The sequence below is a fragment of the Homo sapiens genome, chromosome 8 (assembly GCF_000001405.40).
Source record: "Homo sapiens chromosome 8, GRCh38.p14 Primary Assembly".
Taxonomy (NCBI): domain Eukaryota; kingdom Metazoa; phylum Chordata; class Mammalia; order Primates; family Hominidae; genus Homo; species Homo sapiens.
The window spans coordinates 11,010,543-11,024,830 of NC_000008.11; the positions used below are offsets into that span (position 1 = coordinate 11,010,543).

A 14,288-nucleotide genomic window follows, 5' to 3' on the forward strand; every position below is an offset into this window, starting at 1 on the left:
ACACAACTGACACTCATCAGACATTTGTTTTTAAAATCCCAACCAAGAAATCTATCTTTGATTTATTATAATAACAAATAACAACCAGTCAATATTCAACATTTCGTAATTTTCCACAAAATGATTTTTATAGCTTTAAAACAACTTTTCCCCCAGTTCCAAGATTCGTGCTTTCCATTTCATTGACAGTCTTCTTTACTACCTTTTTTTCTAAAACAGTGGCCCCTCCCCACCTTTTTTTTTTTTCCTGTCATGACATTGACACAAAGTTAAACCAGGAAGTCACAAGAGGCAAAGAACGGAGCTCCCCACCACAGTCGTGGTATGAGTGGGGCTGAAGACTGGCTTGAGTGATGTGTCTCCTTTTCACTCATGTGACCGCTGGTTATGTCAACTGTGCCCAGGGCCAGGACCGCCTTCTCTATGCCAGGTATTTTGCTGAGCACACTGTATACATTGTCTCCGCATCTCTCAGCAACCCAATCAGTCAAGATTATTATTATCCCTGTTTAACAGATGAGAAAGCTGAGGCTTGGGCCAGCTCAGTAACTTGCCTGAAGTCCTACAGCAGTCATCAGCAGAGCTGGGATTTGAACTTGGCTCCAAACTCATGCTCCTTTCCCTACATCACTGTCCCTGCTTCAAGGAGTCCCCACCTACAGGAATGGACTAGCACAGAAACAAGCATTTCAACAATACAGTGACATCAGTGCCATCACACAGCACGCAGGAGAGGCACAGGAACCACCAGAAAGGAAGCCCTTCTTGGGGTGGCCAGCAAGGCTTCCCGGGGGAGGTGGCATCCTGCTCTGCAGTGACAGAGTGGATAGGCTGTCACCAGAAGGGTACAGGTACACAGCGGACGAGGCTGGAAAGCAGGTGAGCACCAGGCTGAGGAGGGTCCTGAACATTTTCCTTCATTTTTTATTTGTTCATTCATTCATTCAACAAATATTTACAGAGTTTCTTCTAAGTGCCACGTCTATTCCAGACACTAAGAAAACAGCAGAGAAGAAACAGGACAAAAACCTCTGGCTATGTGGAACTTAATCTAACACGAAAGAGACAGCAAACAAATAGGTAAGTAATAGAGATGGCAATAAGTGTTGCAGAGAAGGATAGAGCAGGGAAAGGGACAGGGAATGCCTGGGGACAGAGGCTGCGATGCGGGAAGGCCTCAAAAGATGTTTGAGTAAAGAGCTGAAGGAGGAAGGGAACTGGTTGTGGGAGTGACAGGAGAAGAATATTTCAGGCAGAAGCCATTGAGCTAAGAGCTGGGACTTGCTTCTGGGTCCACTGCAGGGCAGCACATGGCACTGGGGAGGGGGATAGCATGAGGGAGGGAGGCCAGTGCAGTGTGGCAGCTCAGGTGTGCACCTGCTGGAAGCCACAAGCTTGGAGATGGTGCAGGAGGTGGCAGGGAACAAATGAGCCAAAATGCTTCCACAGGTGGGGTGTCCACATGTCTGTGACAGGAGCCCTGAGCTATTCTCAGCCCCACTAAGGACTCTGAAGAGGAGAATTTGGGACACAACAGGCAGGGCCTCGCAGTCCCCATCTAAGCAGATGGAGGAGTCCGCCTACCTCAACTGTGCCCAGGGCCAGCACTGCAGAAGCTACCACTCATCTGTCATTCAGGTCACAGGACCCCACCCCACTCCCCAGCCCTGACAGCCAGCATGGGGACAGAAGGGGCAGTAATGAACCCCCAAGCCCCTTTGGGACCTCAGCTGCTAGGGAACTGCTATGCAGATAAATTTAACCTGGCAAGTTACCTAACCTTTCTGGCTCTCCATTTCTTATTTGTAAAATGGGGATAATGACAGCACCTATATCTTAAGAAAAACTGAATGAGTTAATACATGTAAAGTGTTCATAACACCATTTGCATGTGGCAGGAGTTCAATAACTGTTAGTATCTATCATTGTGAGTGTAGTTGTTACGGCTGCTATTATCATCACCATCACCATCACCATCGACAGCAGTCCCTGGCTACATCCCTAGTCTACCCAGACATTTCCAGTACCATGGGGGAGGAAAAGAGCTGGGAAATGTAAACTATAGAAAAAGTGCCCCCCTCACCTCCCCCTAGCTTGCAGGCCCCCTCCACTGTCCTCTCCTTTTCCTCCAATCTGCATCCCCTCCTTTTTTCTGGGCTAATCTTGTTTTAATCTTTTCTTTGGATTCATCCTGGCCCCGATGTAACACATCCAGAAGTACACTAACAGCTCATTAACTGCCACAAACTAATACATTTTATCCCATGTCAGGCCATGTCTAATCAATGGCCATAATAAATGCAACTCCATTCTAACAAGCTTCTGCACTTTCAGGACACTTTTCGTCCAATGCCTTGCTGACATCCCAGATACCCCAAGGAAAAAGGTGGTGTCTTGCCAAGTTGTAGTATCTTGGCATGTAAGAGTCATGAGAGCTCTAACAAGATATTTGCCTGTAGACATGCCTTATCCTTCGGCTTGAAGATGAAACGAGGCCCAGGGAGGGGAAGTGAATTTCCCAAGGTCACACAGCAGGTTGGGTGCCAAGCTCAGATGAGAACAGGAGTTTCCAAGCTAACATGTATTAAGCCCTTAACACCATGAGGCATTTAATCCTCATAGTGACCCTAAGAGCAGATACCATCTATATCTTCATTGTACAGACAAGGGCACCATGGCTTGGACAGGTTGAAGGACTTGCCCATGGTCTCTAAGATGAGGCTGAGGAGGCTGACCTTCACCACCATGTGGTTTTCTAAAGGTTTCTCCTTTAAGGAGAGGAGAGGAGAGACAGGAGGAAGGTTTACTTTAGCCCATCACAAAGTGAGATCTAAGAACATGAACCCTGAGGGCCACAGAGGTGAAGCTTCAGGATGCCGGCTCTCATGTTTATTTGAGATATGTGTTAGGTTTCCCCAGCTGCCTCTAGGGACTCTGTCTGGGTCAGCCTGGCAGAGGTGGGTTCCAGATGGCAAAGGACTTAACTGTCTTTGTACCAGCAATTTGTTGCCACAAATTCATTGAGACACATAATATAATACGCCCCCTTTTTAAAAATTGCAGTGCCTAGATCTGGCCCCGGATCTGTGTTGCTGGTGGGAATGTCCCCATCCATTAATTGAGTGCTCCTAGAATTAGCGGGGATGGGAGGGCCTCCCCTAGCTGGTTTGGAAACCAGCACCTTCATGTTTATACCAATTCCCCACCCATGTTTGGCAGAATGAATTAAACAAAAGTCAAAACCTACTTCAGCAGGGTTCCTTACACAGAAGGAATTTGCTGTGTGAAGTCCTGGGACCTCTTGAGTCATCCTGACCACGGCCCTGCCTTCCAGCCCACCTGTACCGGAGCCCCTCATGGGAGGGTCCCTGTGAAGCCACCAACATCCAGGCCCGCAGGACAGACCCAAATCCATTCCCAGTCACTGCGTTAAAAAGTCAGCTTTGTCCAAACGTGCCTTTACTCGCACGGCAGACAGGCCTAACGGGCCAGAAGGGATTTGTTAGGCTCTCTAGATCCATCATAATCTGTGTTTAAAGGTCCCCAAATGCCCATTTAGACAATCCACATTTTTTAACAGCCAGTAAATACTCTGGTACCGGGTCAGCATTTTTAAAGGTCCTTAAATAGCTCATTTGCATAATCCATATTTTCAGAGCCCCTAAGCATTCATCCTCCCTATGTAATCTCAATCTTTATTAAGTGTGAGGAAGAAAAGACTCCAAAGGAGTGTAGCGGCCCTTAGCGCCCCTTCTGGAAAAACTGTTTTAAAAATGACCAGATTTTCAAAAGCAGGCACAGGACCAACCACAAAAGGAAAGTTTCTAAAGGAAAACTATTAACCTGTGCTGGCCTGTGAATGATCCTTCCGTAAAGGCAGGAAAACCCCCTGCGGGCTCCCCAAGGACACTAATTACACAACAGGCCCTGCAAACACTTCCAGTAAGGTTGGAGCCTCCCCTTTCCTATGGGTTCCCTCCTGGAGGCCAGGAGGTGCAGGCAGGTTCCCCCAACAGCTTTTCAGCAGCACCTTCCCAGGTTTAGTCTCAGCTCAAAGTCTTCCCTGGGGGAAAGGAAAGGCAATTTGCTAACAAAATGTAGGTCCCATGATTGAGGATCACTCAACACAGATATGGGGCAAAGCCTTTGCCTCATGGGTAGCAGCGTGGATCCTCTGTTAGTCATAAGACCCAGAAGACCGTGAGAAAAAGCCCTTTTGGGACCTCCGGGTCCCCAAACCTCAGCATCCCGCAACATACCCATGTAACAAACCTGCACGCGTACCCCCTGAATCCAAAATTAATAATGAAAAACATGAATCCAAGACAAGATGGACCCACACTGCTGCCCCTCCACTGTCTCAGAGAGAAAAGCTATGTCTTCATCAGAAGGTTATCCAAATTCCAAATCATCTTCAGCCACAGGCAAAACGCAGATGGAACTTGCCAACAAGATGCTGAGCCGAAGAAGCAGACGTGAGAGGACAGGGACTGATGATTCTGTTCCCTCAGATTCCCAGAACAGACAAAACTCATCTACGATCAGGGAAGCCGGGACCTGGGTTGGGAGGAGGCGCTTGGGGGCGCCTCTGATCGCGTGATATGGGTGCCCTGCATCTGGCCGTGTTCACTCGGGAAATGCTGTGAGCTGCACTTTTTTTTTTTTTTTAAGTAACCCAAATTCTTTTAGTTCCAATTTCAACTTCCTTAGCATTGCTCTGAAATCCTCTCATGCTGCACTTTTATTTTTACTCTTCTGAGCACATCCGGGATGCCCAACTCTCTGGAAAGAGGGATTAATTTTTTTTTTCGGTCCAGATTTTTGAGATTATTTAGGAAAGGTTTAGGGGAAGGAGAATATTTATAGCAACAAGGACGTGTCTAAACGCACTGGAGGCTTCTTTGCCCGGAACTCCCACATCTGCTAGAAACCACCCCCCACCCCCACCTCGGGGAGGGACTCTGAAGAGAGTTAGGGGAAGAGGGAGGAGAGGGGGACGCTGGCAGAGAAAGCCGGCCAGGTCTGACCGAGGGGATGAGTGTCTGAAGCCAGGGGGCTCTGGGCTTCTCCGGCCTCAGGCAAGAAGCGGGGCTGGCTGCGTTCGGGACCCAGCGCCCCCCAGGCCCTCCAAAGACTGGTTGAGCTCAGAACCAGAAGGAGCGAGGGAGCAGAGAAAGCCGGGGGCGGGCTCGGGGTAAGACAGGAAGGGAGTGAGATTAAGGTGAGAAGTGGGAGGGGAAGGAGGGAAACCGAGAGGAATTGAGGGTGGGCTCGGCGTATCTAGAGCAGTCCGCGGAGGACGCTGAGGCTCGCCGGGGAAGTGCTGTGCCCGAGGCGCCCCAAAGGTGGGCGGCGGTGCCAGCTCAGACCCACGCCTCTGTCCAAGTCCCGACTCCTGCGGACTCGGCTGCAGGCGGGCTCCATGAGGGCGGGCAGCAGGGCTCAGACGATCCGGCTCGGTTTGGTCAGCAGACCCCCGGTAACGCCCCGCACCGTCGGCGATCCCTGCCCCCTTCCACTGCGCCCCCACAAGCCCCGAGCTCGCCAGTCCTTCCCCGCGGCGCTCCGCTCTGTGGCCCCCTCGCATCCCACCGTGGGGGTGCAGCTCCCCTGGCACAGCCCGACGGTGGGAGAGGGCGGCCAGCTGGACTAAAAGCCCCGTCCCCGGGCGGGACCTTCCTCCCCGCACCCTGACGCGGAGGTTGGCCGGGGGCCTCTGCGTCCCTCTGCCCCGCGCCCTGGATGGGGAGGGTCTGGGCTCCGCGCCGCGAGGCAGCGCGACGGCTGCGGGCGACTTGGCGTGCGGTGCTGAGGACCCTGGGGGAGTGTGCGCCGCGGGGACGCCGGGGACTCGGGGTCCTAGTGCCACCGGACGCAGCGGGAGTAGCGCAGGTCTGGGGGCGGGGTCTCTCGAGGCGCAGACAACAAGCTAGATCCTGAGCCCTCTGCTTCAAAGCGGGTAGCGCCTTCGCCCACGCCTTCCCTCCCACCATCCCTGCCTGGCTGCCACCCGGAAGTCCCCGTCCGCGCCCCGACAGCGCCGCCCTCCGGCTGGCTGCAGCGCGGGCCCTCGGTAGGGGGCGTTCCAAGGCCCCGCCTCCTCGTCACTGCCACGGATGACGACGCCCCAGGCCCCCGGCCCCGCCTCCGCCTCTGCCTCCGCGGCCAGCACTGGGGAGCGTCCTGGCCTGCGCTTGCTCCCCAACCCCTCCTTGCCCCGCTCTGAGCCGGCGCGTCCTTGCTCCCCCACCACTCTTCTCTCTCGGGCCAGCCGAGCCCAAAAGGCCTCTCCTCTTCTGTTTTTCCAGTTCCCTCCTCAATTTCACCTCCTCGGAGACCCTCCACCACCCAGATCTTCAGCGAGCAAGTCACCTTTCCTTTAGATAGACAGACAGGTTAGAGATAGATTAGAGAGATTAGATAGAGATTAGACGGATAGATTAGATAGACTGATAAGATGAAAGATGTAGATGGTAGAGATTTGCATACATATGGATAGATACATATGGATAGATCATAGACAGATGGATGATTGATACGATGTGGATGATAGATGGTTGGATAAAGATGATAGTTATAGATGATAAAAAGGCATAGATGATAGATACATATAGATGACAGAGATAGATAGAGATGATATATAACATTGTAACACGTATAGATAGGCCACAGATAGGTAGGCAGTGGGTAGATAGGAGGTAGATGGATGGATATGCGTATAGATATAGGTATATGTCCTGAAGGGACAACCCGGACCCCAGGCTGGCCAGGACAGTACCCAGGCTTTGGCAACCTCCTCAATAGACACGAAGCTGCAGGTTTTCAGCTGCTTACGCCGGGCAAACTGTAAAGTGCTTTAAATCCCTGGAACTAACCACAACGGCAGCTTAGCCTGGAAACTCAAGTGCTGGCTGCAGGCAGTTTGAGCGCAGCTCCAGGGCTGCAAGGTTGCCTGCAAGTAACACGACATTTGTTCATTCTTTCAAGCATCTGCTGAGCCTGTTGCAGCTGCCTGTGGCTGGGTTCCGGCACTCAGAGACCCTGGGCCTGCTCGAGAGGGGCTGACATTATGGTGGGCATCAGAGACACCCACACAGAGCCTCACTTGATCCATGTGGCAGTGCCCTGGGAGAGGGCAGGGAGGGGTGCTGGGAAACACGAGAGGGGCAGGCATTTGACCTGGGTCCTGAGGACGGGCTGAGGTTCCCAGAAGAAGAAAAACCACATCAGTCAGAGGCACCAGTAGGTGCCCATAGGAATAGAGGGCCTGGTTCCTCCTGGGCCAGGAAGCAGTTTTGTGGGGCTGGATCCCCGGATCCTGAGATGACAGTGGGTGCTGGGGTGTAGCTTGTGCTCAGAGAGGAGGAAAGCTGGCTGAGGCCAGGTTGAGAGGGATTCTGAGAGCCCATCTATTTCTCCTGTTCCCATCTCCTCTGTTATACCTGTCCCCAGGCACCTGAAATGACAAAGGTGCACAACCCCGGTCCTCTGGGCGTGGACTTCAAACCTATACACATGTGACAATCCCCGAGTTAGACAGCCCTCCTTCAGGAGCAGCTCTGGATGTCAAAGGGTTACGCTGCTGTCAGCAGCCCCTCCCTCTGTCTGACCTGAATCCCCCCCACCCACCCAGGGACAGCCTCCCCCTCAGGGTGACTCAGCCCCTGACTCCCAACTCCCTCCCTGCCATCAGCTAAGACTGTAACTGGTTACCATAGCGACCTCAAGAAGCCCGGTTCATACCCCTCCTTCCTGATGAGACCTGGAGGTCTAAATTGCTCCTGAGATGAATGCTGTGCACAGCTCCTCACCTGCAGAGATATTTGACAGGCAGCATCCCAGCGCCTTCCTCCCCTGCACAAACTCAGGAAGGGAGCGATGGCAAGAGAGGGAGGCCAGATGACAGATACCTCCACCACCGGGCCTCCAGGCTAGCACTTCCCTCCATAATATGGGGGTCCCCAGGGAGAGGAGGACAAAGGACATGAAGGCAAGAGCTGAAAACTACCAAAGAAGTTTTTGGTGTCCCCAGGAGAAACTACAGGTAATACCAAGATTTTCCATTCTTCTAGGCCATCTTTGAGAATGCACTTGGGAGGGATGGATCCTTATTTGTGAAATGTTGTCTTTCTCAGCAAAGTTTTACACACACACATGAACACACAGAACACCAAAAGATTCTTCCTGAAACATGGTCCATTAAGCTCCTGCCCCAAACCATCAATAGCTCCCCATTGCCAAAAAAGAAGACCCAAACTCCTTTCCCTGGCCTCAGCCTCCTTTCTACCTAGCGACCTGCCTTGCTGCCCCTAAGAACTCCTGTCCCACTCTGCATGCCATACCCTCAGCAGACCACTTCCTGCTTCCCAAAGGTGCTCTGTCTCTCCTGCCACCATGCTCATCTGGAGATGACCCTCTGCCTGGGCCACCCTAGCTCCGTGTTCACTTCCTCAAGCTCAGCCTTCATCCTCAGGCCCCCTCACCCACTCCCCCAGTTAAAATTTCACTCCTTCTTCCTGGTGGCACTTTTGGAGTCCTGTTAGAGAATAGAGTCTGCCATGCATCACTGAGATCTAAGTGTGGCTGTCATCTCCATGGCCTGGGGCCCGTAAAAGACCAACATGTTTCACTCACTTTCCTATCCCTTCACCCCTCAGAGGGTCTAGCATGGGGCCAAAAGCCAATGTGAATTGCTTGGCACTGACCCACCCTCCCTCTCCTCTCTGACTTGCTTTCTAAGATCTTCACCAAAGATGAGTGAGGAGACTGTGAATGGGCAGACACTTCACATTCACCCAGGGAAGCCTCCATCCCCTGGTAAAGACACAAGAACAGGGGAGCTGAACCCTTCGCCTCTGGACTTCGGGACCACCCATTGTAACTATTCTTCCTCCATCCCACCTCTTCAGAGCTGTGACTGGCTGGAGGGAGGTGGGCTGCTGGGCTGCCTCCTCTGGGGATGGAGACAGGGCAGCCTGGCCACAGGCACAGGAGGCAGGACTCAGGAACAGGCTGCTAGAACGCGCAGGTGACATTCCAGCTGTACCCAGGCCCAGGTCTGGGCCCCAGTTTCCACCTAGAGGTGGTGTGAGCAGTGTGGCAGCTGGCTCTGACCGCCAAGACATGGTGAGCTGAGGCTGCAGGGCCGTAACCCTGGCAGGCCCCAGCCACACCTGCAGACACAGCCCTCAGAGGCAGAGGCTAACACGGTTAATTGGTTCCAACCTTCAGCTAAAAGTAGGAGCATTGATCAGGCACCCGTGAGGCTCAGAAGCTGTGGCCTCTGAGGATGCTGTACTTCCGTGTAAGCTCAAACCCAGAAAAGAGAAATCCGATCAGAGGTTGTGGTGCTCACTTCCCAGCCGGGCCAGAGTGGGGCAGAGAGGCGGCAGGCTATAAATAGTGGAGGAACCGCCACTGATAATCCACTGGAGAGAAGGGATAGGGCACTCTTCCCCCAGGAAGGAATGGCAGGCCTCTCCAAGGAACAGCGGGACCTGTCAGAGCAGAGGACAGGAGATGGTGGCCTCATCCCCACCCACCCAAGGCCCAGTCCCCTTTCCCTGTCTGTGAAGTGCTTGCTTCTGCCCTGACTCCGTGGAGCATGGGGACTTACAGGGCAGGCATAGGATGAGGGGACTTCAAATAATGGTCTTGGGAGTTGAGTTCAGGCTCTCAGTGGAGCCAGGGCTTGGCCAGAGTTCATATGATTTCAGTGTAGGAAGCCGACACCGTCTGTGCATCCCGACACGGAAGCACAAGTCCACTCTCCTGTCACTCAGCCATCCCTCCAGAAATGCATCCATCCATCCATCCATCCAAATATCTAGTCATTCAGTAATTCATTTGACAAATAAGAATTGAGTCCCAATGATGTGGCAAGCCCTGTGCTAAGTTCCTTGTGACCTCACCTGTAAACGGTGCTGCTTCTCCCCGTCCTTCTTAGGGTGCTTGTAAGAACCCATCGAGGAAAGAAATGTGCTTGCAGCCTGGGAAGTATCACACATGTATCGGTGAGTTGGGGCTTTGACAGAGAGAAGCCTTTGGGTGCTTCCAAGAAGGGAACACCCCAGCCCCTAAGAGCTTCCTTTCCCTCCTTTGGTCCTCAAAATCTCAGCCAAGGAGGCCTTGATTGGCATTCATGGGCTATGGCTTTTCAGGTCAACTTTGAACTCTTACGCCTTTTTCCTAATATGAGGGTCTAGAATGTAAATTTTGAGATCCTTACTGAAGTATGCTTCCCCCTAAACTTGCTGTGTGCACTTGGGCAGGCCAGGTGACCTCTCTGTGCAACAGTTTCATCCACTGTAAAATGGCAGTGACATGAGTAACTATCTCTTAGGGCTGTTGTGATGATCAGAGAGTCAGTATATGTGAATTGCTTAGCATAGTGGCTGGCACAGAGTAGGTACTATCTAAGGGTGAGCTACTTGTGGAGATGATGCAATCTGGCCCTGGGAAATGGGGGTTCAGGCTCACCTTTTACAAAGGGACCCTAGGGGGTCCTATGAGGCAAATGCTTCTGGCTTTAAGATACGTCAAGCCTTAGTCTCCTCAGATTTTAAACCATCTCCATAAAACAGCTGTCCTAGGAAGGAATCTTGGGCTTCTCTCAGAGTCTCAGACCAGAAACTCTGTGTCCTAAGACACTGCAGCCTCTTACAGGAAGGCACTGCAGGTCTCACAGGGAGAGGAAGAGTTATACAGAACCCTGTCTTCCCTCTTCCTACACTCATGTGGGTAAAAAGCTTAGATTTTTCTTGCACTTGGAGTAGAACAAGGGGTACAGCTAAAGTGATGGACTGCTGAGAGTTTCTAGCTGCTGCTGGATTCCATAAGTTCCATCGGATTAAGGATGAGCTTAATGTATAATGTATAAACCCATGGACAGAGACACTGCCTTGTTTAAGCAATGGTTTACATTCATAACACAAATATAAATGGATAGTCATTTCTTTCTTCAGGGCCCAGCACAATTCATTAGTAGCTTCTAGCCTTTTGTCCCTTTCAAGCAGAAAACAGACCCAGCTCAGAGAGCAGTGGCTGGGTCTGCTCAGGACCCAGGAGCCCAAAGCACACAGGATCCCAAACGCTCCAGAGTCCATAGAGACTTTGTTGTCAAGCACATCAGAGATCATGACTGCTATATATTCTTGGTGCTTCTTTTCATCCATTCAGAGTCTCAAATGTTCTCTCTTCACTTTCCTGCTTCATTCAACTATGCTAAGACTGACAGCCTCCTGAGATACTAACGTGATAAGACACAATCCCTGCCCTCAAGGAACTTTAGGGTAAGCCTGTCTCCCTGACCTTGGCTTCCTGAACTTAGCCTTGTTCCATATAAACCTTTTTCCTCCTTCCTACTTTCCTCCCACCATCATTGCTGGCTGGTACCAGCTGCTTACTTTGTGTTTCTAGTTGCATTTCCTTAGCCTCTGTCTCCAGCTGAGCACTGGACTGCACACTGCAGAAAACAAAGGGGAAGAAACAAAGGCACTGGCCTGAAGGAGTTCATGGCCCACTGGGGAGCTTTTTCAGAAATATAACCAAAGAAGCCCCTGCCCTGGAGAGCTTTCAGTCCACAGACAGTGCATCCTAGATAGAAAGGGGCCCTCTCTTAAAGAGGTCCAACCCTTCTCATTCATGTAACTATGGCACAAAACAGTAGGTGCCAGTAGCACAAACAGTTCAGAGAAAGATGCTGCAGAGTGCTGTTGCCTTAGCATCCCTGGGAAAGGTGCATGGGCTGTAACCAAGCCCCATTGTTCCACCTGGGTGATCATGGCCATTGCTAGGGGAGAGCAGATTTACATGTGGACACAGGTACTTATGCTCTACCTGCAGCGACCCAAAACTCTCTTGCTGTTCAAACATGTCCAAGCAGTCCCCCTGGGTCCAAGGCAGAGGGCCCACTCCAAGTGGGAGACCACAAAATGACCTTATACAAACACCAGAAATTAGGTCTTAGACACATGAATGGGACAAAGACTAAGTGTCAAAATCCCAAACTCAGTCAGCAGCCAATGGGTGAAGCGGGCGGCAGGAGCAGAGGAGAATGCATGCGCTTCCTCCAGTGTCATCTTTTTCCATCCCTACGACCCACAGAAGGGTGACATTATTCCCCTTTTACAGATGCAAACACTGAGGCCCAGAGAGGTTATCTTGCGCAAGGCCCTGCAATTAGTAAGTGGTAGAACCAAGACCCAAGCTTTTTATTTTTAAAGCTGGGTCTTTTCAACTATACCATTCAGACTACAAAAGCAGAGAAATATTTTCCACTTTTTTATTTGTTATAAATATTTCATTGATCAACATTTAGTTCCTCAGGCACCTGTGTAAGGTCCTCCACGTCCCAGGGCAGGAGGCCCGGGGCTCTAACTCAAGGCCGTGACCCACAGACACACAGGAAAGGCAGTCCCCTCCCTCCCTTCCTGGCCACAGCAGGGCTGGTGCTGCGGTGTCAGCGCTCCAAGGTATCTGTCGAGGCAATTTCAGCTCCAGTTTGCTCAAACTCCAGACCAAAGGCTCAGTCGCAGACTCTGATGTGCCGAACAAAACCAGAGACAGGAACTCGTCTCAATCACTGAGTCAGCTGGCGGTGAGAAAATGGGCAGGTGGAAAGCTGGGGAGGGCCCTCCCTCCATGTCCCCATTTCCTAGACTGAGCTGGCCCTGCATTTTCTGCACCCAGGGCTGCTCCCAGAGCAGGCACTAGAACCCTCTGCAGATCCCAGACCCTGTTCTGCCCTGGAAGCAGTGAGGCACCTCACAGGCCCCCGAAGTCATCTGAGGCTGGTGGCTGGAGTGCAGTGGCATGATCACAGCAAGAAATCCTCTAACCTCAGCCTTCTGAGTAGCTGGAACTCTAGGCAGTGCCACCACACCCGACTAATTTTATTTTTTGTAGAGATGGGGTCTGGCTGCATTGCCCAGGCTGGTCTCAAACTCCTGGGCTCAAGGGATCCTCCTTCCTCAACTTCCCAAAGTGCTGGCATTACAGGTGTGAGCCACTGTGCCACCTGGGACTGCTTTCTAAAGAGATTTTCTATCTTAGAATCTGTGGGGGCCACTTGAGGAGGAGCTGGTGAGAGGTGGCATAAAGGTCTGGCCTGTTCCCCTTTATTTAGGGTTGAGGAACCCCACAGCGAGGGACTGCTAACTCTGCCTTCAGCATGTCTGGGAGCAGAGTCTTTCCCCTGGCTCCATGAAGGCCTCCTGCGGATCATTTCTCACCTGCTGCGGAGCCACCTGCGGTGCTGACTGTCCCCTCCTGAACCCTGTGCCTCTCTATGCCTGTCTTCATTACCAGGGTACGATGTCCTTCTCCAGCTAGGTGGATTGGTTCCCAAAGACTCCGGAATGAGGAACATTTGCAGACAGCAAACTTAAAACCCTACGAGAAGAATAGGGTGGGGGAATTGTGGCTGCAGATGAGCTTAGGAAGGTCCTTGGATGTATTTCTTCACATGCGTCACAACACCACGCAGCCCTATACCAAAGACATGGCACATCCCGAAGTCTTCCTCAAAGGTAAATGACAATCAATTTCCAATTTCCATTATTTGCTCCAGAGAGGTGGTTCAGGAATTCCCTCGCCCTCAAGTTTAAATGAGATATTAATGAATTATTTTTGCCTTGTTGCAGACAACATACCTGTTAGGAGGTGTGTGTGTGTGTGTGTGTGTGTGTGTGTGTGTGTGTGTGTGTGTGTGATTCTCCATCCAAGTGTTTACTTCCTTTCTCATTTCATGACTTTGGGTTATTGACTCCTGTCCCTCCCCAACCTCTGCCCTCCCCAGTTGGGTGACCTGGGACCAACTCCCCAACCTCCACATCTGTCTCCTTATTAGTGAAATGGAGCTATGACAGAACCCATGATGTAGGGATGCTCTAAGATTTAAATAAAGTAATCCAGGTAAAATGCCTAGTCAATTGTCTGGCACCTAATAAGCATTCAGTCAGTGGTAGCCATTACTTTCTTATTAATAAACTCAAATATCACAACCTACCAAGTGTCTGACTATCCTCAGGGCTTGGCCTCTCCCAGACTTCATCTGTCCCATGCTGGCACTGTCAGAACTATGCCCATGAGGCCGAATCACCCTGACTATTTTGAGGCAACCTTGCTCCCACATTTCCACCATCTGTTGAAGGTATTTCCTCTATTGACCCCCAGGGAGGCCCAAGAGGGCCAAGTCACAGATGGGATGGGGAAGAGAATCTAGAACTGATCCCTCTTAAAGACAGTGCAGACTAGCAGACGGCTGCAAAACCTGGGTGTTGGGGCCC

The 14,288-nt window shown here is 51.5% G+C and overlaps 1 protein-coding gene across 2 annotated transcripts in view, besides 3 other annotated features; it reads right to left on the reverse strand.

Moving 5' to 3' along the window:
* Positions 1-14,288, reverse strand: part of XKR6 (XK related 6) — a 305,789-nt gene that overhangs the window by 114,498 nt on the left and 177,003 nt on the right. The gene's annotated exons all lie outside the window — the stretch shown is intronic.
* Positions 5,389-5,448: a silencer, noted in NCBI's record as "silent region_18917". NCBI's record gives its function as "represses an Ori minimal core promoter by ATAC-STARR-seq in GM12878 lymphoblastoid cells {active_cell/tissue: GM12878}" and the evidence as "EXISTENCE:reporter gene assay evidence [ECO:0000049][PMID:35858748]".
* Positions 5,569-5,628: a silencer, noted in NCBI's record as "silent region_18918". NCBI's record gives its function as "represses an Ori minimal core promoter by ATAC-STARR-seq in GM12878 lymphoblastoid cells {active_cell/tissue: GM12878}" and the evidence as "EXISTENCE:reporter gene assay evidence [ECO:0000049][PMID:35858748]".
* Positions 5,649-6,238: a silencer, noted in NCBI's record as "silent region_18919". NCBI's record gives its function as "represses an Ori minimal core promoter by ATAC-STARR-seq in GM12878 lymphoblastoid cells {active_cell/tissue: GM12878}" and the evidence as "EXISTENCE:reporter gene assay evidence [ECO:0000049][PMID:35858748]".